Raw genomic sequence first — 23,628 nt, forward strand, 5'->3', positions numbered from 1 at the left:
CACCATGTTAGCCAGGGTGGTCTCCATCTCCTGACCTCATGATCCACCTGCCTCAGCCTCCCAAAGTGCTGGGATTACAGGCATGAGCCACTGCACCCAGCCACACGCATTGTTTTCTAACATGTTATATAAATTATTGAAGGGTGCCAGGGAAGATTGCTTCCCTCTTCACTGCTGACTTTCATTATAGATTAACTTCCTTCTTACCTTGCTCTCATAAAGACTTCATGGCTATTGCATTGTCTTAAGATGCAATGTTAAATACACTCCTTTAAATTGGAAAGGAAATGTGAGCCAGCTATAAAGAAAGAAAACAAGTAGTATGGAAAGAGAAAAAGGTTGGGCACAGTGGGGCTCATGCCTGTAATCCCAGCACTTTGGGAGGCTGAGGTGGGTGGATCACTTGAGGTCAGGAGTTTGAGACCAGCCTGGTTCACATGGTGAAATCCCATCTCTAGTAAAAATACAAAAAATTACCTGGGCATGGTGGTGGGCACCTGTAATCCCAGATATTCAGGAGGCTGAGACAGGAGAATCACTTGAAACCAAGAGGCAGAGGTTGCAGTGAGCCAAGATCATGCCATTGCACTCCAGCCTTAGCAACAGAGTGAGACTCCATCTCAGAACAACAACAATAACAAAAAAAAAAACAAAAAACAAAAAATTCTGCAACTAATTAATTTGTTGTAACTCTTAAAGCAGCCTTATATAGAAAATGTTGTGATCCTATTAATTTTTTTTCTTTCTTTCTATGTAAGCAAGAACTTCACTTTTGACTTTGCAGCACTGACCCCATTTCTCTGGAGTCTGTGTGCCCTGATTGGCTATTCCCAGATTTTTGTTTGAATAAACTCTTTTTTAATTTTTACCATTAGTTCCCACAAGCAGAATGAATAAACATTTTAACACTGAATTCTGAACCTTTCAATTATTTCAGGTTGACATCTCCTTGGCCAAACTAATCAGGCTCTTCTGAGTCCTCTTCTCACTAGGCCTCAACTATTGAGCTTCTGTGTTCGTCTCTGCATTGTTCAATCTCAGCAAGAATCCTTCTCAGTCAATTTAGCCAGAATTCCCCATCTTCAATAGCTGACCACTCATAATATCTAATAGGGCTCCTCATCCTTCACCATCTGCTAGGTGATGTCTGATCACCCTGCATTCAGCAAGAATGCTATATGTTGGCTTAGCCATGTGGGAAGCCCAAAATATGCCACCCCAAAATACACTCCTTTGGTATAATTTGAGATGGCTATTTAGAGGGGCTGCAGATGTTACTGAGGGGTCTCACCCCAAAAAGGGACTCTTTCCTGTTTATTATTGCAAAGCCAATGTATGAAACCAAGAGTGAGCGTCAAGCAGTGCAGGCTCTATTCAATGGCATTGGAGAAGTAGGAGCATAGCATGGAATTGGAGAAGTAGTATAGCTTGCAAATCACCTTCTCAGCTACTGAGAACCAGGAAGTTACAAATATAGAGGATCTTTAAGGAAGGGAATGAGCAAGGTGAGGAATATTCATGCTTTTCTTAGGAAGGGATGGAGATTTTCCTAGAATCAAGGAGTCACCTCATTTCTGTCCTTTCTTGGTCTCTTCCGTTCATTGTCACAGTGATTGTCAACTGTCATGCACTGATGGGAGTGCTATTTAGCATGGAAATTGGATTATAATAAAGCTAGATGTTTTTCAGAGGTTGCGTAAGCTGCCATCATGGATTTCACCAGCTTCAGCTGGTTTAGTCCCAAGAAGAAACTTCTGACCACAGACATCCTGTTTCTTAAAAATAAGCAGAGTTAAAGGTGAGTAAGAATTCAGCCATGTCACATAGGCACTGCAATGGCCAACAACATCTGGGTAGGGTTCCAGGTAAGTCATGTAGGCAGTGCAATAGGCAACACAGTCACAGAAATACCTATGAAAAGCTGTCCTTTTGTCAGGGAGATTAGCATGTGTAGAGGAAGTAAACATCAACTGCAAATGGCTTTCTCTGAGACCTTCTTATCTGCTTTATCTGGATCCAGGTAAGATTAACTCACAGGAAAAGGAAACAAAAGATCTCATGCTTTTAAAGGTCTGACAGAGAAAGTTTTTTTTTTTGAAACGGGGTCTTACTCTGACACCCAGGCTGGAGTGTGCAGTGGTGCAATCTTGGCTCACTGCAACCTCTGCCTCCCAGGTTCAAGCCATTCTCATGCCTCAGCCTCCCGAGCAGCTGGGATTACAGGTGCCCACCACCACACCAGGTTAATTAATTAATTTATTACTTATTTATTTATTTATTTTAGACAGAGTCTTGCTCTTTCGCCCAGGCTGGAGTGCAGTGGTGCCATCTCAGCTCACTGCAAACTCTGCCTCCCAGGTTCATGCCATTCTCCTGCCTCAGCCTCCCTAGTAGCTGGGACTACAGGTGCCCGCCACCACGCCTGGCTAATTTTTTTGTATTTTTAGTAGAGACGGGGTTTCACTGTGTTAGCCAGGATGGTCTTGATCTCTTGACCTCATGATCCACCTGCCTTGGCCTCCCAAAGTGCTGGGATTACAGGCATGAGCCACCGAGCCCGGCCTGTATTTTTAGTAGACATGGGGTTTGCCATGTTGGCCAGGCTGGTCTTGAACTCCTGACCTCAAGTAATCTGCCCACCTCAGCCTCCCAAAGTGCTGGGATTACAGGCATGAGCCACCACATCTGGTGGAGGGCTGCTTCTTGAGAGACTTCATCTGCATCACATCTGCATCACAACACAGCCTTTGCTCACCATGTCTTTCCTCCCCTCAACCTCCCATAACCTGTGGCCACCACCCCCTAAGAACTCCAAGCCTAGTTAGTCCTTTATGTGCTGCATATAAACTTCAACCATACGGCCTTCTTTGAGGCTTTTTTTTTTTTTTGAGACAGAGTTTTGCTTTTGTTGCCCAGGCTGGAGTGCAATGGCGTGATCTCAGCTCGCCGCAACCTCTGCCTGCCAGGTTCAAGTGATTCTCCTGCCTCAGCCTTCGGAGTAGCTGGGATTACAGGCATGTGCCACCACACCTGGTTAATTGTGTATTTTTAGTAGAGACGGGGTTTCTCCATGTAGGTCAGGCTGGTCTCGAACTCCTAACCTCAGGTGATCGGGATCCACCTGCTTTGGCCTCCCAAAGTGCTGGGATTACAGGCGTGACCCACTGTGCCCGGCCTGAGGCTTATATTTTTATGTGACTCTGTATTAGTCAGGGTTCTCTAGAGAGACAGAATTAATAGGATAGATATACAAAGGAGTTTATTAAGTATTACACTTACTTTTTTTTTGTCTTTTTTTTTCTTACTTTTTGTGGAAAACAGGGTCTTGCTATATTGCCCAGGCAGGTCTCCAACTCCTGGGCTCAAGCTATCCTCCCGCCTCTGCGTCTCTGAGAGCTGGGATTACAGGTGTGAACCACCACACCCAGCCAGGAGTTTATTAAGTATTAACTTACACAATCACAATGTCCCGCAATAGGCTGTCTGCAAGCTTAAGGAGCAGGAAAGTCAGTTCAAGTCTCAAAACTGAAGAACTTGGAGTCTGATGTTCCAGGGCAGGAAGCATCCAGCACAGGAGAAAGATGTAGGCTGGCAGGATAGGCCAGTCTTGCCTTTTCATGTTTTTCTGCCTGCTTTATATTCATGGGCAGTGGATTATATTGTGCCCACCAGATTTAGGGTGGGTCTGCTTTCCCCAGCCCATTGACTCAAATGTTAATCTCCTTTGGCAACACCCTCACAGATACGCCCAGGATCAATACTTTCATCCTTCAATCCAATCAAATTTGTGAGAAACAAATTCACCCGTCTAAACCCAAACAATGAACTCAGAGACCCAGAGAACAGCGAAAGTGAGACTTTTAATGACGGTCTTGCAAGATCGTGTGTCTGGCATGCAGGCACACCCAGCACAGTTTCAACAAGCAATTTACGCCCTAGTGCACAGGTCCCTCCCTCAGTTCCTCATAGGCTGAGTACTAGCCTTCCACAATCTTCCTAGACATCACCTATTGATTGTTCTTCAAGTACATTATTTAGGGTCTTTCTGCTGCATTTTATTGCAGCACACGATGCATTATGACTCTCAGGATTTTTCAAACATTTGACTTACGGCTCTAGTGGCTGCACTTAGCTGATAAGGGTACAATTATCTATGTTGCAAGCTAGCTTAAACTAAATTTCTTTGTGGAGTGGGGAAGGGGTAGATGAGGGGGCCCCCACCGATAGATGCCTGGCCACTGGGTGAAAGGGAAAGAAGGAAGGTGGAGGGGGTGGCTCAGTACATTCTGCTTCTTTATTTCTTTCTTTCCAGGTAGCCTGCCTAAACCTATACCAAGCCACTTAGAATTGAAAATAGATAATCACATATAGGTTATTTCCTACTATACCCTCCTTTTTCTTTTTACCCTTTTTGGTTTCATTTTCACTTAAATTGCTTTTTCAAACTGTTCCAGAATTGTTTACTTTTTTTTTTTTTAGACGGAGTTTTGCTCTGTTGCCCAGGCTGCAGTGCAGTGGGGTGATCTCGGCTCACTGCAACCTCTGCCCCCCAGGTTCAAGCGATTCTCCTGCCTCAGCCTCCCGAGTAGCTGGGATTATAGGCGCGCTGTAATTTTTGTATTTTTAACAGAGACGGGGTTTCACCATGTTGGCCAGGCTGGTCTTGAACTCCTAAACTCAGGTGATCATGAGCACCCGCTTCAGCCTCCCAAAGTGCTGGGATTACAGGCGTGAGCCACCGCGCCAAGCCAGAAGTTGTTTACTTTCTTCCTCATAGGAGGAGGAGTTTATTTGGTTTCTAATAATAGTAGGTTATTTTGTTGGAACATCAGGGGCATCTGTTTACTGAGAGTTGTTTTAATAAACCTTAGTGTTATATATATATATACATATATATATAAAATATATTACATATATTATATATAGTAGTAGTGTTAAACCCCTTACACAAGTATTGATGCAACATCGTATGTCAATGACAGAATCTGATAAGTTGGAAGAGTATACTGTAGAAGATACATACTTCACTTTTTTTTTTTTTTTTTTTTTTTGAGATGGAGTCTTGCTCTGTTGCCCAGGCTGGAGTGCAGTGGCGCAATCTCGGCTCACTGCAACCACCGCCTCCTGCGTTCAAGCAATTCTGCTGCCTCAGCCTCCCAAATAGCTGGGATTACAGGTGCCCACCACCACACCTGGCTAATTTTTGTATTTTTAGTAGAGACAGGGTTTCACCATGTTGGCCAGGCTGATCTTGAACTCCTAACCTCAGGTGAACTGCCCGCCTTGGCCTCCCAAAGTGCTGGGATTATAGGCATGAGCCACCACCCTGACTCATACTTCACTATTGAAACAAACTTTTTTTGTGTACAGAAGAAAAAAAATCGTACAGTTAATAGTGTCAGAGATAGTGAAAATATGAAACAAGAACTGCTTACAAGAAAGGAGCACTCAGGGGACCAAACCTCTGCCAGAGCCAGCGGGGAAGTGACTTATGCCTCTCTCTTCTTTCCCTCCTGTCCCCGCCCCTCGTCTCCCACAATGAAGCGGGTACTTAATCTGTGTCCTGTGGAGGTCCCCTTTGGCAGCCAGCTGGAAGCCCGTGCACCCTCCTTCAAATAATGGCTTTCAATGAGCAGACTAGAACATTTAGGATTGCAAAGGAAACCGATTCCTTTCAAACCTGGTTATCTTTGTGATGTGGCACTGTTTGCATATCTTCCTTAAAACGCATTAAAGGCCACTGCACTCCACCCTGGGCGACAGGAGGTGACTGTGTCTCAAAAAAACCAAAAACACTCCCCCCTCACCCCAAAGCATTAGACATCAAGGCTGGCAGGGATGTCTGTTCTCTTGAAAGTTCAATATCAATTCAATACTTTAAATTCACTGTAGTTTCAATCCATTGGTATGGAAAGTGTTTTGAATTATTGTACTGATTTTTTTCTATCCTCTTTCTGATACGCATGCTAATCATATGGACCTTGGACATCTATCTTCCTGAACTTTTCTCTCCTGTTTTTACATTCTTACTTTGGTTTGTGGGAAATATTCTTGATATTATCTTCAACTTAATTTTTGTTCTTGCTTCTACTATTTTAGTTTAATTTCCAAGTATTTTGATATTGAACTTTCAAGAGAACAGACATCCCTGCCAGCCTTGACGTCTAATGCTTTGGGGTGAGGGGGGAGTGTTTTTGGTTTTTTTGAGACACAGTCACCTCCTGTCGCCCAGGGTGGAGTGCAGTGGCCTTCAATGCGTTTTAACGAAGATATGCACACAGTGCCACATCACAAAGATAACCAGGTTTGAAAGGAATCGGTTTCCTTTGTAATCCTAAACGTTCTAGTCTGCTCATTGAAAGCCATTATTTGAAGAAGGGTGCACGGGCTTCCAGCTGGCCGCCAAATGGGACCTCCACAGGACACAGATTAAATACCCGCTTCATTGCGGGAGACGAGGGGCGGGGACAGGAGAGAAAGAAGAGACAGGCATAAGTCACTTCCCCCGCCGGCTCCGACAGCGGGTTGGTCCGCTGAGGGGCGTTGGGTGAGGCGGAAGAGCAGACGGGGATCCGGAAGGCGTTGTCGGTGACATCACGGAGAGGGCGATTTCTATGTAGATGAGGCAGCGCAGGGGCTGCTGCTTCGCCACCTGCTGCTTCGCCACGAAAGAGTTCCCGTGCCGTGGGAGCAAGTCTGGGACCTCTGGTCGGAACGGAGAGTCGCAGCTGTGTGTTAGGGCTAGGATGGCTCCGGGATGCGCGTGAGGCAAGTGACCTTGCGTGTAAAGGGTGAGGAATATGAGGCTGCGGCGGGGCGGAGGGGCGTGAGCTTATACTTATGTTTATCTGACAGAAGAAATGTTATGATCACGAAGGTGGTTTTTCCAGAGCAAGGCTTAGCAATTTTGCTGTGGATGTGCTGACCCCTGTGATTTCCCCGAATGTGGGAATCTCCATTACATAACTTGTGGCAGTGGGGAACTGTGTCTGTGTTTTCCCCTGGGTTGTTGTCGTTCTAAAAGTGGATTTTGTTTGCTGTGGAAGCATATATAAGGCGTTAGTATAAACTAATAAACAGGTCTTTGTTCCCATCTGTAACTTACTTTCAAAGTAAAGATTTTGCCAGGTAGTGGTTGGTTCTCACGCTTGTAATCTCAGTAGTCTGTGAGATGCATTGATAACTTTATGTTAATACCGCTCGAGCTCTGGAGTTTGATGTCAGTGTGGTCAAATATGGTGGACCCGTCTCTACTAATCTCTTAGCTTTTTTTTTTGTTCTATAGAAATAAAACTAAGCTTTTCTTTTCCCTACGGGAGCCCATTGTAAACATTTATTAACAGCAAACAGTCCACTGGAGTGCATGGCGGGATCCCGGCTTACTGCAACCTCTGCCTCCTGCCTTCAAGCTATTCTCCTGCCTCAGCCAGAGAATACTCGATCTCCTAAGTAACTGAGATTACAAGCGCAGGCCACTAAAAAATTAGGCCCGGCTAATTTTTTGAATTTTTGGTAGAGACAGGGTTTTACCATGTTGGCCAGGCTGGTCTTAAACTCCTGACCTCAAGTTATCCGCCCGCCTCGGCCACCCAAAATGTTGGGATTACAGGCCTGAGCCACCGCGCCTGGCCTGTTTACAGACTTTACAGACAGATTTTGTTTACAAGCTTTACACGCACGGTTCAGTTGCAGTTAGTGTATATTATGTTTGGCCCAAGACAAATGTCTTTTTTTTTTTTTTTCCCAGTGTGGCCCAAGGAAGCCAAAATTTAGACAACCCTGCTCTAGAGGGTTTGATTCATGTTTCCACTGGGTTATGCTTATTGCCTGTAATTCCATTTGATATTTTCCAAATTTGATTTTTTAAAAAGCGTTTTCCTGAAGCACCCTAAAGCTTTCCTAATAATATGGGAACTTAAACCAGATTGGATGTAACAAAACCCGGCTGGAATCCTGCAACTTCTAACCTTAATGTTAGATCAAGAAGCAAAACACCCACCAGTCCAAGGGTCAGGGAAGATGAAGATCATGCCTGAGCTGTAACAACGCCCTTCCCAGTATACAAAAGCGTGTAACAGCCACTTGAATTCTATCTTCCAAGTGTCTCCTGTTGCCCAGGCTAACCTAGAGCTATCTAAAGATGGCAAATCTGGGAAATGTGCATTCAGCTTGGCAAAACTGATACATTACAAATCCACCACAGTCCACTTCTTCTCAAAGTGGCATCAATGTGCACCTTCCTCCTCCTCCTTCTCTTTTCCTCCTCTTCCTCATCCTCTTCTTTCTCTTCTTCTTCCTCCTTTTTCCTCCTTGTAAAGCCATACTTAAGGTTCAAATAAAGACAATAGGAAAATCATACTTTTTCTCATTCAGTGAAAATATGCCAACCCTTTCCCCAACAGGATAAAGTCTTTTGTCTTTGAATGATGTTCACTCCTTTTTTAGCTAGATCACATTCCATATTTGCTATCCTGTAACCTAAATATTGAGATTTCTAAAAGTTAATTATTAATGAATATGATAGCGAGGATGATGGAAGATGAGAATTCTCAAGAAAAGTATTGGTTAATATATAACTAAATGTATTCATCTCAAAATAATGAAGAAATACTCCTAACTATTATAAGTCCTCATTTCTGCAACTGTCACTGGCCCTAGCTGGTATTTGTAACTATCTTCACATCTTGCTCTCACAGCCATTTCCTTTGGGGCTGGGCCAGTGGATGTGAGCGTGGGAAAGACCAGAACCCGCGGTGCCCCCCACCGCACTATCCTTGGGTCTCCAGAGGTGGGATCCACCGGGCAGGGGCCTTTGCTGGATTCTAAACCGGCTCTGGGGATACAAGAACAGCTGCCTTTGAGAAACAGTTCAAGTCTCTATATTCCAGACTTCCTAGTAGGACTAAACTCTTAATGTTCACCCAGGAATTCACGGTTCTCCTTAAACCCTGCGGTGGAATGCCTTCCTTCACCGAGCATTTATTGGGCACCTACTAGGTGCTAGGGTGGCTCTGGGCGAAGGGCTGCAGCCTGTGCAAACTCCAGGTCCCTTTCCTGTGGATCCCACCTCTGAGGGCCCGAGGGGGACGCAGTGAGGACACCACGGGTTCTGGTCCTTCCCACGCGCGCATCCGCTGGCCCAGGCCTGGCGGAAATGACTGTGAGCGCAAGGTGTGAGCGGGGCTAAGAATGGGAAAGCGAGTGACTTTCGCCGGAGAAGCTGCAGTTGTCACCTGTAGAGGGGCCGGCGACTTTTGAGACGGTGAAGAGCAGGCGGGGGAAGCAGTGAAGAGCAGACGGTGAGGAGCAGGTGGCCCTTTGGCCGTTGGAGTCCCCCAGCTGACTCTGCCCGGGTAGAACGTCCAAAGTGCCCAAAGACTCGACTCTTGGCTTCATTGTCTCCCGTATTCTGGGTTTCTGGAGTGCGCGGGATTGGACAGGCATCAAATATATGAGATTATCTGCAGCCAGAGGTTAAAAAGCCATTTCTGGTATCAGCAAGTGAGTTTAAGACACAAGCCATTAGAGTCTCTGTGGTGCAATCGGTTAGCGCGTTTGACTGTTAACTGAAAGGTTGGTGGTGCAAGCCCATCCAGGGATGGCACCTTTTGCTTAGGCAAGATTCACACTTTCTGTTTAAAGACTTTAATCCTGGGAATCCTCCGGACCTCTATTAGCTTTGAATCAGATGCCAAAATATGCTGCGTGAAGGCTCAAGTTCCATGGAAGTTCCTAAAAACAGGAATATTTCAGCAAAAGTAATTTTTCAATAGAGCCTGAGCCTGGGGCTTCAGAGCTTACGCCAGAGCCACTGCACCTATTTCATCACCTCCTGAAGCTGGGTTTTTACAATTGCACATTCCTGGAAATCCAAAACTCCCAATAATTGAAAACAAGAAAACCCCAGTCTTCACTTGTGGTGAAGCCTCAATTTCTGGGTTGAAATCTTGGTTCATTCATGACGTGAATTTAAAACGTTACTGGATTTTCTGTACCTCAATTTCTTCGTCTATAAAAAAGAGCAGCCGGGCACGGTGGCTCACGCCTGTAATCCCAGCACTTTGAGAGGCCCAGGCAGGTGGATCACCTGAGGTCAGGAGTTCGAGACCAGCCTGGCCAGCGTGGTGAAACTCCGTCTTTAATAAAAATATAAAAATTAGTCAGGCATGGTGGCGGGCGCCTGTACTCCCAGCTACTTGGGAAGCTGAGGCAGGAGAATCACTTGAACCCGGGAGGCAGAGGTTGCAGTGAGCCGAGATCACGCCATTGCACTCCAGCCTGGGCAAAAGAACGAGACTCCTTCTCAAAAAATAAAAATAAATAAAAAATAAAAAAGAAAGAAAGAAAGAAATTTTTCCTGGCACATTTCTATATGTTCCATTCTGGATGACTTGCTCTTCAGGCTTATCCCACAGCTGTTATCATAATATCTCTCTTTACTGCACCATCTTGGGATTTCCATCGCCTCTCTCTTGTTAGATCCCCTGCTTCATGGATCTCAAGGGGGTTCATTCCTCACTCACTTCTTCCTTTTGATGATGCATATCCTCCAAAACCTCCTATAAAGTGGTTACCTTAGAAATAAACTTTTTGAGACACTGCATGTCTGAAAATGTCTTTTATACCCATAAAATTAATTGATATTTTACTAGATAGAGATACAAAAAGATAGGTGGAAATAATTTCTCTCTGAGATTTTTGAAGGCACTGTTTTTTTTTTTGTGACAGAGTCTCGCCTCGCTCTGTCGCCCAGGCTGGAGTGCGGTGGTGGGATCTTGGCTCACTGCAATCTCCACCTCCCAGGTTCAAGCGATTCTCCTGCCTCAGCCTGCCCAGTAGCTGGGACTACAGGTGCCTCCACCATGCCCAGCTAATTTTTTTATTTTTAGTAGAGATGGGGTTTCACCATGTTGGCCAAGCTGGTTTTGAGAGCGACCACTCCTCATATTGTCTTACACTTAATTTCTTGTTTGCTGAAAAAGTGGAGGTTGAAAGAATGGGCAGAAGTGAAAATCACGCTCAGACAACTGGGTGCCACATTTCGGGCCTGGTTGTTAAAATTCAACCGCTGACCTCACCAATTGTGCTGTCTATAAATTCCAGACATTGTATAAAAAAGCATTATGAAATTCCCTTTTCTGTCCCGTTTCATTCTGATTACCAGTACATGCAGCCCCCAGTCACGTACCCCTCGCTTGCTCAGTTGATCATGACCCCCCCAACACAGCCCCTTTAGAGTTGTGGGCCCTTAAAAGGGACAAGAATTACTTATTTGGGGAGCTCAGCTTCTAGGATGTGAGTCTACCGATGGTCCCAGCTGAAAAAAGCTCTTACCTTCCACAATCGGGTGTCTGAGGGATTTTGTCTATGACTCCTGCTACAGTTTCAAACTCCTGACCTCAAGTGATCCGCCTCCCTTGGCTCTGCAAAGTGCTGGGATTACAGGCCTGAGCCATGGCTCCCGGCCCTTGTTGTTTACTGTTTTCCATAGTCATTTCTGAGAAAGAAAAAGGTAAGCCTTTTCTGCTGTGAGCTAGAGCTGGTCTGACAAACACCTAGGCCATGGTGTTCTATGGTTAAAACTAAAAATTTCACAACACCAATATCAGACAAAGTTACCCTCTCACTAAACTGAAAGAAATACTATTTCACAATCATATTTGAGCATAAAAAGAACACTGTTCAAACCATAATATGATCAAACATCCCAGCTACTAATAGTGACGGTTAATTATTTTATTTTTTATTTTTTTGTGATGGAGTCTTGCTCTGTCACCAGACTGGAGTGCAGTGGCACAATCTCAGCTCACTGCAACCTCTGCCTCCTGGGTTCAAGCAATTCTCCTGCCTCAACCTTCCGAGTAGCTGAGACTACAGGCACCTGCCACCACACCCAGCTAATTTTTGTATTTTTAGTAGAGACTGGGTTTCACCATATTGGCCAGGCTGGTCTGGAACTCCTGACCTTGTGATCCACCCCCGCCCCGCTCAGCTTCCCAAAGTGTTGGGATTATAGGCGTGAGCCACTGCACCAGGCCAGTTTTTTTTTTTTTTTTTTTTTTTGAGACAGTCTCTGTTGCCCAGGCTGGAGTGCAGGGGCATCATCTCAGCTCACTGCAACCTCCACCTCCTGCGTTCAAGTGATTCTCTTCCCTCAGCCTCTCAAGTAGCTGGGATTACAGGCATGCCCAACCATGCTTGGCTAACTTTTGTATTGACTGTTGATTCTTTACCAATTATGTGTTTAGTCTTTCAACCACTTCTCCCACTTTCTAGATAAAAATACCGAGATTCCCAAAGGAAGAATTGTCCCACAATTTCCCCATAGTGTTTGCTGTCTCCTGTGTTGCAATGAGCCAATATACTCAGGTTTGACTATAGGTTTGTTCCTGATGGTTATACACTGGAGCACATCAGCACCATAGAGAAGATGGATGCCGTTCTGATTCTTTGTTATTTGCCTTAAACTCTTCTCCCATATCCCCTCCCAAAAGCCTATAGAATCTTCTACTTCTTCCTATTAGTTTGAAACTTCATGATCTATTTCCATCCACCATGCTGGGTACTGAGTGTGCTCTTTCAATATGGGAATTTGTATTTTGGAGGTATCATTCCAAAGATGTTTATGCATATACAATTAAAGGTATATATTTATTTCCTGCAACTACCATCACCCTTTTGATACACTTCTGCTGTATAATAAACCATCCCAAGCTTATTGACTTAGAATAACAATAATTGGCTGGGCGTGGTGGCTCACACCTGTAATCCCAGCACTTTGGGAGGCCAAGGCGGGCAGGTCACGAGGTCAGGAGATTGAGACGATCCTGGCTAACACGGTGAAACCCCGTCTCTACTAAAAATACAAAAATTAGCCAGGCGTGGTGGCGGGCGCCTGTAGTCCCAGCTACTAGGGAGGCTGAGGCAGGAGAATGGCATGAACCCGGGAGGCCGAGGTTGCAGTGAGCCGAGATCATGCCACTGCACTCCAGCCTGGGCTACAGACTGAGATCTCATCTCTTAAAAAATAAAAAAAGAATAACAATAATTTATTATTTTTAGTGATTCTGTGAGTTGGCTTGGAAATTCTTCTAGTCCAAGCTGGTTCATTTGGGGCTGGATGGTCTAGGATGGCCTCACACATCTGGGGTATAGGTGGATTGGTTGGAAAAAGTGGGATGCATGGATCTTTTTCTTCATGTGATCTCTCTAGCAGGCTAGCTTTGGGGGATCTTCAGATCATGGCCTCAGGATTTCAAGTGAAGAAAAAAGCAGGTAATCCTCCCATGTGCAAGCCTCTCTTCTGCCAGGTTTGCGAAGGCACCAACATTTGCCCAAAGCAAGTCATATAGCCAATCCAAGATTCAAAGAGAGGAGAAATAGACTCTCTTGATGAGAGAAGCTGCAAAATATAACCACTTTTTTTTTCAATCTGTCACAGTATACCATACTGGACTATCAGTAGCTTCCTCATTTTTCTTTCTTTCTTTCTTTCTTTTTTTCTTTCTGAGACGGAGTCTTGCTCTGTCGCCCAGGCTGGAGTGCAGTGGCGACATCTCGGCTCACTACAAGCTCTGCTTCCCGGGTTTAGCCATTGTCCTGCCTCAGCCTCCCTAGTAGCTGGGACTACAGGCACCCGCCACCACGCCCGGCTAATTTTTTGTATTTTTAGTAGAGACGGTGTTTCACCGTGTTAGCCAGGATGATCTGGATCTCCTGACCTCATGATCTGCCTGCCTCGGCCTCCCAAAGTGCTGGGATTACAGGCGTGAGCCACCGCGCCCGGCCATGACACAAGTTTAAAAGAATATTTTTGTTTGTTTCAGACGAGTCTCGCTCTTTTGCCAGGCTGGAGTACAGTGGCGTCATCTCGGCTCACTGCAGCCTCCGCCTCCCGGATTCCAGCGATTCTCCTGCCTCAGCCTCCTGAGTAGCTGGGATTACATGCGCCCGCCTCCACGCCCGGCTAATTTTTGTATTTTTAGTAGAGAAGGGGTTTCACCAAGTTGTCCAGGATGGTCTCTATCTCTTGACCTCATGATCCACCCTCTTGGGCCTCCCAAAGTGCCGGGATTACAGGCGTGAGCCACCACGCCCGGCTAAAAGAATAATTTTTATTTTATTGTTTATTTTATTTATTTTATTTTATTTTATTTTATATTTTATTTTATTTTATTTATTTTATTTTGTGAGACAGAGTTTTGCTCTTTTGCCCGGGCTGAAGTGCAGTGGTGCAATCTCTGCTCACTGCAACCTCCACCTTCTGGTTTCAAGCGATTCTCCTGCCTCAGCATCCCGAGTAGCTGGGATTACAGGCACCAGACACCATGCCCGGGTAATTTTTGTATTTTTAGTAGAGATGGGGTTTCACCATGTTGGCCAGGCTAGTCTCAAACTCCTGACCTCATGATCAGCCCACCTCGGCCTCCCAAAGTGCTGGGATTACAGGCGTGAGCCACCTCGCCTGGCCTAAAAGAATAATTTTAAAAAATCTTTTTTGGATCAGGCTTGGTGGCTCAAACCTGTAATCCCAGGACTTTGGGATGCCAAAGTGGGTGGATCACCTGAGGTCAGGAGTTTGAGACCAGCCTGGCCAATATGGTAAAACCCCATCTCTACTTAAAATACAAAAAAATCAGCCGGGGTTGGTGGTGTGCGCATGTGGTCCCAACTACTTGGGAGGCTGAAGTGGGAGAATCACTTGAACCCGGGAGGAGAAGGTTGTAGGTAGCCGAGATTGTGCCACTGCACTCCAGACTGGGCAACAGAGACAGACTCTGTCTCAAAACAAAACAAAACAAAACAAAACAAAACAAACAAAAACAAACAAAACAAACAAAAAACAAAACAAACAAAAAAACAAAAAACAGCAAGCAAGGACTCCATGGCCTGCAAGATCCAAACCAGTAAAGGAGCAGCTCCTCAGAGACAGGCATGTGCATTAGAGAGAAAAAGTATGCTTAACATGACTTCATATGATAATCAGCTCATTAAAACTCATGCATATGGACTACATATCATGCATGTACTTAAAAGTATGGGATGGAGGCAACGTGCAAGCACACAAGGGCCAAAGTAACTAAGCAACCCACCTGTCAATCAAAAGGCAAACACTGGCTAAAGATTAGGCATCCCTGTGAAGAGAAGAAAAAAACACACATAAAAAGACCCAAAGTACACCAAACTAATACTGATCTCATCTCCCAGACTCTCCCCACTCTGAGAGTGTTACTGTGCTTAATAAACTTTTGCTTTGCTTTGCTGCTTTATGTGTGTCATGTACAGTTCTTTGTTTGGGACACCAAAAGCCTGGAACTTCATGGAACCATCTGGTAAGAATTAGGATTTTTTTTCCTAAGGGTTAACAAACCAGCCCTTTGGAAAGACTTGCCTCTCCACTGTTATCAACCAATGGCCTGAAACTTTCCCTCCCTTTTGTGGTTTTGACAAAACAAGCAAGCAGCATTCCCTCCTGATAAGAGACCACTGACCTAGGAATGATTCTGGCCAGACTACAGAGGATGTACTGTGAGGGTTTTCATGTCCTCTGCTTCAGCTTTTGATGTCAGAGGGCCACAAACTCCACTCTCAGATGATTGCTAATGCCACCATTTTATGAACATGGGCCCCATGGAGAGGCACGAAGCTCAATTGCACTTCTGCACATTTTTCCTCTTATAAATATTGATATTGGAATACTATTTGGTATTGCTCCCGTGAAAGATACATTTGCAGAATGTACTCAAATTAGAAGCATTATATAAACACTACAATGTAGCAATGGTGCATCCAGTTCTCTACACTATAGAAATATCTGCGGTGTAGACATTTCCACAATGACCAAAGATATGTGTACAAGAATGGTGACTGCAGCATTCTTTGTAATCCTAAAACCATGAAACCAACCTCATCTCAAAGACATTTTTTTTTTTTGAGATGGAGTCACACTCTGTTGCCCAGGCTGGAGTGTAGTGATCTCAGCTCACTGCAGCCTCCACCTCCCAAGTTCAAATGATTCTCCTGCCTCAGCCTCCCGATTAGCTGGGATTACAGGTGTGTGCCACCACGCCTGGCTAACAAAAACATTTTGAAAAGGGTTAAATAAATAATGCACAAACTGAGGAAAAATACTGTTTTCAAAAATGATGGAGAGGATCACTATGATGATGAATGATTCCACTGGTCACATTATTGATAGAGCAATCAGTAAATCCAGGCACATCCTGGAGATACTACTGGACTCCTATTACTAAAATATGAAAAAACGGAGACAAGTAAGTTACTCATTTAAGCGTATAATCGACTGAATTAGAATTTTATCACACCAGAAGTGGGTTCCTAGGTCTCTGTTTCAGGATTCCTGAGTTACACAGGTGTAAACCCGCCGTTTCAGGAGATACCCGGTTAAGAATCTGGTCGGGGAGCTGGCTGGCCCTTGACATGGATCAGTCATAAATTAGTGGCTAATTCTTCCCCATTTATGTAGTGATTGACAGTACGTGCATGCTTTAAAAGTTCCAATAAGCATCCCTGGGTGGGCTCGAACCACCAAGCTTTCGGTTAACAGCGGAACGCGCTAACCGATTGCACCACAGAGACAAGCACTGCTAACTCCACTGGGCCATATAGGAAGGGCGCACTCACTAAACTTCCTCCGTCCCTTCTATTCCCAGGGCCCGCCTGGCAGGACGACTGAGCAAGTCCTTGGAAAACCAGAGATATTAGAGCGGTGAATCGCGCTGGTCACGTTGGACACCTGCGCGTTAGGAGATTCTGGAGCCAGAGGGAGAGACCCCAGAAACTCCCCGGTCGGCGACCCAGCCCGAGACGCCTGGGGTCCCAAGGGAAGCTGAACGCCCGGTGGGCTCCCGGGATGGTTCTTCCGGTTCTTTGTGCCGCCTTCACCCAGTGAAGGAGCCTGTATCCACCCTGCCCAGTCGCTGTTGGGCTGCTGCGGAGCTTCCGCTGCCATCTTCGGATCCTGTGTTCCGCCCGGGGCTCCACCAGGGCAGGGATGGTGGTGAGGGTCGCTCGTGGGTCCCCTGGCAGGGAGCAGGGTCTGGCACTCACAAGGGCGCACGACTAGGACTTGTCGAATGAATCCTTTGTCGCCTTTAGCTTTTAGTCCTTTGAAGAGAGGTGAGAGTGGAAATCAAGAGATTTTTTTCCACGGGGAAGTTCTTTTTACAAAGCGTTGATTTCTCGGCACCCCGCGGGGCGGGCAACTGACACGGCCTCCGGTGCACCTTCTGCGCTGTGGAGCCTCTGGGGCTCAGCTGGGCGGTGGTCGGGTCGTGGGGCGGTAGGGCGGGAGCGGGGGAAGGGAAAAGCAAAAGCTGGAAAAGAAGCAGGGGAGTTATGAACCAGACATCCAGACCTCCTGAAGGGCTCGTGCAGACGTACAGGCGGGATCTTCTGGAAGTGAGAATTGTTTTTGTTTGTTTATCTATTGTAGCAGAATGGGGAAATGGAGAGAGAACCTGAAAGAGCCCCAAACTCGAGGACCTATTGCTCCCCAAGAATAACATCTTCCAGAACTAGACAGAAAACTAGGCGTCTGGGAACCCTGAAATCCTTGGAGGAGTAGATCATCATGACCCTCTGTGTTCCTTTTGGCAAATGACTTGCTTCCATTGTTTGTTTGTTCAATTGTCTGTTTGTTAAATAAATAAAACCCTTTTCATGTATCTTTAAAATTACATTGGTTCTATTATTTTATGATTACAAACGATGCTGCAGTCATCATTCTTGTACACTTCTCATTGGCCACTGGTGTATTTCTATAGGGTGGAGGCCTGGAGAGCAGTTGTTCCAGCATAGTGTTTACATAGCTTTTATTTAATTCCGTTTTCTTTCCTTTGTTGCTTTATTAGCTATAACCCTTCTCTTATTTCAGTGGCAGCTTTAGGGTTTCTGGGATACATCTTTAATTTATCACATTCTGCTTTCAAGTGCAATTATACCTCCCTTTCTGGCCTTTATCCTAGTGTTACGTATTTTTACTTTATGCATTATAAGTTTTGTGATTATCATTACTTTCATTTATTATGTCAAATATTTTTAAAAAGATTTAAATTATAAGAAAATGTGTAGTACATGCTTTCTAAATGCCATTTCCAATATTTGTTTTTGTATAGGTCCAGATTTTTATCTGGGATCCTTTTGCTTCTGCCTGGAGGACTTTTAATAAGATTTCTTGTAACGTGGGTTGGTGAATTGTTTTAGCTTTTGTATGTTTTTCGATGTCCTTATTTCACTCACAGTTTTGAAATTTTATTTTTGCATAGAATTCTAGGTTAACTTTTTTTCTCTGGGTACTTTAAAAATGTTACCATTTATGAAGCATTGCCATTATAATATCATCTTTCTTTCCTGTGTTTGTAAGAATGGCATAAAGCCGGTTTCTTGCGGTGGTTATATAATTTTCAGAATGTGTACTTAAATTTAAAATATTAAATTTTACTAAAAAACTAAAAATATTAATCATGAACATCCTAGATTCATCTTAAATTCCACCAACAGTGCACTTAAAATGTGCCCAACCTGAGGGTCAAACCTACCTGCTGACGTGTAATTTGTGTTTGTGAGACATTCTCAACAGCATTTGCTTTCCCTAGCTGAGTGATTTTCCTCACATCTGAATGTCTTCAGTACAAAAGGAAACCTTTGTCTTTGCAAAAATACTTTCAAATATTCTTACTTCAAGTAAGTGCATTAAAAACAAACTTCTCAGTTGCATCCCTGGAATCCATGGAAAGCCCGGGAGAGACAATCAAGTGCTTCAGGATCAAGAGCTAAACAAGGGAAGACAAAGCGTGGCTTCTTCACTAGGAGTCCAGCCAAAGTCAACTGATTTGGTCTCCAGTGGAGGTCGGAACTCGGTTCACTAGCGACGTGAGGACCCGGCCCAGAGGAGGCGGACTTTCTCTTCCTGGTGCCTTCAGATAGGAAATCTAGAATTTCTTTCTTTCCCTTTGATCTACTTCTAACTCTCCCGTTCTATTTCTTCAAGACCTTTTTCGGATCCCTACTGCGAAGGACCTAAGGGGCCGATGCCCTTCCCTAACGGTCCCTCCCTGGCTGAGTGTCTTCGGAGCCCAAGCTCACCTGTAAGGTTACTGCCCTCCGGAGACAGCGAGAGGACCAAGGAGGGCGGCGGGTGCGGTGGGAACCACAGAGTCACCGCGCACCTGCGCCTCGCGGGCTCCTAGCAAATTGAATAAATGATCCCTGAAGCTTCTCTGCAGGTCACAGGGAAGGGGAGGGTGGCTGCCGACACGCGGGAGAAGCTTCAAGAAGCGTCGGGAGGACCTGGCCCTGCCTCTGGGCCTTGAAAACAGGCCTGGCCAGGCTGATTTTGTCGCGTAGGCCCAAAGAAAAGTGTCAAGGGCGGCCCAAACCCTGACCTCGAGATTAAGGCTCTTAAATGTCTGACGGTTTTGAGACTCGTCTGTAGAATCGATCCCGCCTGTATCCGGAGACCGGAGACTCCTTTGCCAAAATTCAGAGACCAAGAAAGAGAAAGATTGGGCAGATCAAAGTCTGTAATTAACCCAAACAGGAAACGTAATTTTTCTGACAAATTGTATGTGTGCTCTGAGAAAAAGACTAGCCTCAAGGAGAATCTGTTTTTTTGGCTTGAGTGTAGGGAAGAATGGAATTGCCACCAACAATGTTGCGTTGAAACGGCAGGTGCATCAGGCTGTAGATGTGAAGGAATTAAAAATATTTCACCCCAAAATACATTTCTTTGACACATTTTGAGATGTCTGTTCAGAAAGCCAGCTGCAGAAGTAGCCCTGCAAAGTTGTATTTTGTTGGGGAGATTTGCATCTGTAGGGAATCTGCATTGATGCAGCCAAGTCTTTCTTTGCCCAGATCTAGGAAAGATTAACTGAGAGTCTGACAGCTGTAAAGGTCTGAAAGAAACTTTTAGGGTTTACTGTCTCTGAGAGCTGCTACCTGTAAGGTTTCATTTACATATTAAGACCACCTTTGCTAGCTAAGCCTCCTCTTCTCTCCCTCCTATAACCTGTCTTGCCCACAATAAATGGATATACATCTGACTCTGATGGTACCTGGTTTTGGCCATGCTTTGAGCCCTCATTCATTCTGTTACCTCGAGATGGTGTATAAGCTTCTGCATCCCATTGTGGGTAGCGTAGGGTAATCACTCTGTGGCCCTCCCCATGTACATGTTAGTACATTTTATGCCTTTTCTCCAATTAATCTGCCTTTTGCGAGTTGATTTTTGAGTGAAACTTCAGAGGGTTAAGAGGGAGGGTTTCCATTGGCCCCTACAGTTTTGGAGCTGTAAGCAGGATAGTAAAGCTCTGCTCTTCTGGAAGCTGCAGTGAAGAACCCAGGATCTGATCAGCTGTCATAAGGGTAAGAATTTTTTACCAGCCAGGCTCCCAGCCTCCTTCTCTGTGTGGAATCTGATCAAGTGCACAGTAAAAATCACTGTTTCTTTTCCCTCTCCAAAATCTTGATTAATGGGAGAAAAGGATTTGTGTGACTAGTCTTGGGTGTAGTGACTCTGGTGTGCTTTTTTGGTACTTTGTGGTACCAATTCATATTGTTTAATCCCTTTCTTCCCAGAAAATGTCTGTTCCTTTGTCTTTGTCTCTACGTGTTATTCTGTCATAAAAGGGGGTACTGGTTGAGGTTCCTTCTTATCTTATTTTATGTCCTTGAGAGCTTGACTTGTGACAAAGTGGGAGCACTTTCTCTTGGTTTCCGCTATCGGGTAAGAGGTGGTAATTTTGAGGTCATATTAGGTGGCCTGTCTGAAAATGGCTGGAAACCCGAGTACACTTTTTCTTCTAACTATGTCAAGCTCTTGGGGTTTGTCTTAAGAAGTCCCATCCCTTCGAGGCTTTTGCCGTCTCAACTCTTGTTGCCTGATTAGTCCTAGAAAAGCTCAGTCCCAAGAGGGCCTACCTCGTATCACAGATTCACAGGTCTGTGACTGGAAGCCTCCACAAATTTGTGGGTTACTGGAGGCAAACATCATCCTTAACCATCTGTGGCCTACTCCTTACATTGAACTTTTTTCTTGGAGGGGAGTCTTTGGGATTGCCTCTTCTATGCCCTTCCCAGGAAGTTAACCTGGAAAATGACATCCTGGGCTTTCCACAAAGAGGCTATTTGGTTGAATTGCTATTGGAATAATTATACCATTGGATATTCTAGTTGCCAATGGCCTGAAGATGGATCCCTTAAATTAGACACCTGAATTAAAAAAAAAAAATTAGAGATCTCTTATTTGAAACAGTTGATAGGAAGATCAAATTAAAAGAAAGGCACATACTAGTGTGATAGCTACCCTTAAAAATTCTCTTGACAATATTATCTGTCTTGTGTAGGGAAAAAATTCTCTTGACTAAATTAAAGAGCAAAATTTGATCCAAAACAAAGTTAAAATTCTTCATAAGCTCAAACTGCCTGCTCTGGATCCCTTCCAGGATTCACAATAAAGTCTGCTCTACCTTGCAGTTTAGTACTTAAAGTTCTGTGCTTTTGCTGCCATAGCCTGGGTTCAATTTCCAGTCAGGGAACCAGTTTATTTTGGCTTGATATTTGTGTGACTTTTGACTTTTTGGAATACCCATTTATTGATCCTTTTCCCGTTCATGGGCAGCTTTTTTTGTTCTTTTTGTTTGTTTGTTTATTAAGACAGATTCTCACTCTATTACCCAGGCTGGAGTGCAGTGGTGCAATCTCGGCTCACTGCAAACTCCGCCTCCCAGGTTCAAGTGATTCTCCCACCTCAGTCTCTCAAGTAGCTGGGATTACAGCCACCCACCACCATGCCTGGCTAAGTTTTGTATTGTATTATTAGTAGAGACAGGGTTTTGCCATGTTGGCCAGGCTGGTCTTGAGCTCCTGACCTCAAGTGATCTGCCCGCCTTGGCCTCCCAAAGTCTTGGGATTATAGATGTGAGCCACCACTCCTGGCCATTGGCAGCTTTTGATTTCCTGTCCTCCCAACTTCCAAAGTTTATGAAGAGAAATCTGTTGATAATCTTATTAAAGATTTCTTACGTGTGATCAGTTGCTTTTCTCTTACCGATTTAAAGATTCTCTGTTTTTGACTTTTGAAAGTTTGATTATAATGTGTTTTGGTGTCGGTCTCTTTAAGTTTATCTTACTTGGAGTTTGCCTGGCTACTGTGTTTGTATTCAGGTCTTTCATCAAATTTGGGAAGTTTTCAGCCATTATTTCTTCAAATATTCTCTCTTGCCCCTCTCTCCTTCTTCTTTATAAATTCCACAATGCAAGGCTGGGTATAGTGGCTCATGCCTGGAATCTCAGCATTTTGGGAAGTCGAGGTGGGAGGATCACCTGAGGTCAGGAGTTTGAGACCAGCCTGACCAACATGGAGAAACCCCGTCTCTGCTAAAAATACAAAATTACCCAGGCATGGTGGTGCATGCCTGCAATCCCAGCTACTCGGGAGGCTGAGGTGGGAGAATCGCTTGAACCCAAGAAGCAGAGTTTGCGGTGAGCCGAGATCACGCCATTGCATTCCAGTCTGGGCAGCAAGAGCGAAACTCCATCCCCCCACCCCCCACCCCCAAAACAACAACAACAAAAAAGGAATTCCACAATGCATATGTTGGTCCACTTGATGGTCACTTAGGCTCTGTTCACTTTTCTTCAATTTTTTTTTATTTCTGTTCCTCAAACTGGATGATTTCCATTGCCTTATCTTCAGGTTCACTGATTGTTTCTTCTGCCTGCTCAGCTTTCTTCAAATTTGACTTTGAATCCCTCTAGTTAATTTTTTATTTCACCTATTTTACTTTTCAGATCCAGCACTTCTTTTTTGTTTCTTTTTTGATTTTCTATCCTTTATTTATATTTTCATTTTGTTCATGCATTATTTTCTTGTCTTATGCTACATCTTCCTTTAGTTCTTTGGGTACCTTTAAGACACCTGTTTCAAAGTCTGTCAAGTAGCACATCCAGCAGGTTGTTTTTTTCTCTCTCTCTTTAATTATTTATTATTTTTCTTTTCATTTTCTTCCCCCATGACCAAATCTTAACTTGACTATCAGGCATTTTTCAGTGAGAGTTTCTGTTGGTTCATTTTTTTTTATTTATTTTTATTGTTGTTGTTGAAAACTGGACATTTGAATCTACTAGTGTGGTTAACTCCAGAAATTAGATTCTCCTCCTTCCTCAGGGTTTGCTGTTTTTCTGTTATTGTTTTGTTTTTTGATTATTGTAGGTTGTCTCTATGCCAAGGATCAGCCTGAGGTATAAACTTATGGTCTTCACAGATGTTTTCTGAGCCTGAACTTTTCCCTGGGTGTGTGGTCACTCCCTAATTTTACCTATATATGCAGTTATTCTTGAATATTTTATCCTTTAATGTCTGGCTCCCAAAAGGGGAAAAAGAGAAAAATTGAGGGAGGGTGAAAAAAGGGTACCATCCCTTTAAACTTTCTGGAAGTTGCTTCAGCTTAGGGTGAGGAGCTTGCTACAATGGGGGAAGGTACAGCAGTAGCTGCCAGCCTCTTTGTCTCTGTGCTGCAATCAGACATTAGAGAACAGAGCCCCAATGTGTGTGTGTGTGTGTGTGTGTGTGTGTGTGTGTGTGTGTGTTTTGAGATGGAGTCT

The 23,628-nt window shown here is 44.5% G+C and overlaps 1 long non-coding RNA gene and 1 other non-coding gene across 5 annotated transcripts in view, besides 2 other annotated features; both read left to right on the forward strand.

Moving 5' to 3' along the window:
• The window catches only part of LINC00869 (long intergenic non-protein coding RNA 869), a 72,512-nt gene that overhangs the window by 22,914 nt on the left and 25,970 nt on the right, over positions 1 to 23,628 (forward strand). The window contains exons 2-3 of one of the 4 annotated variants that reach the window (NR_111951.1): positions 16,674 to 17,020; positions 17,456 to 17,743. This is a non-coding gene — a long non-coding RNA (long intergenic non-protein coding RNA 869). Of the gene's footprint in view, positions 1 to 16,673; positions 17,744 to 23,628 lie in introns of those variants that run through there. The other 3 variants (NR_111953.1, NR_111950.1, NR_111952.1) reach the window with 3 other exon arrangements.
• Positions 6,477 to 6,716: an enhancer, noted in NCBI's record as "active region_1652". NCBI's record gives its function as "activates an Ori minimal core promoter by ATAC-STARR-seq in GM12878 lymphoblastoid cells {active_cell/tissue: GM12878}" and the evidence as "EXISTENCE:reporter gene assay evidence [ECO:0000049][PMID:35858748]".
• On the forward strand, positions 6,835 to 7,088 carry RNVU1-30 (RNA, variant U1 small nuclear 30). Its single transcript, NR_189629.1, has one exon. It is a non-coding gene; the product is annotated as an RNA, variant U1 small nuclear 30 (small nuclear RNA).
• Positions 16,468 to 17,123: an enhancer, noted in NCBI's record as "H3K4me1 hESC enhancer chr1:144301087-144301742 (GRCh37/hg19 assembly coordinates)". NCBI's record gives its function as "activates a minimal SCP1, AML or CMV promoter by ChIP-STARR-seq in naive and primed H9 embryonic stem cells {active_cell/tissue: H9 hESC(naive and primed)}" and the evidence as "EXISTENCE:reporter gene assay evidence [ECO:0000049][PMID:30033119]".

This window comes from Homo sapiens, chromosome 1, assembly GCF_000001405.40.
Source record: "Homo sapiens chromosome 1, GRCh38.p14 Primary Assembly".
NCBI classification, from domain to species: domain Eukaryota; kingdom Metazoa; phylum Chordata; class Mammalia; order Primates; family Hominidae; genus Homo; species Homo sapiens.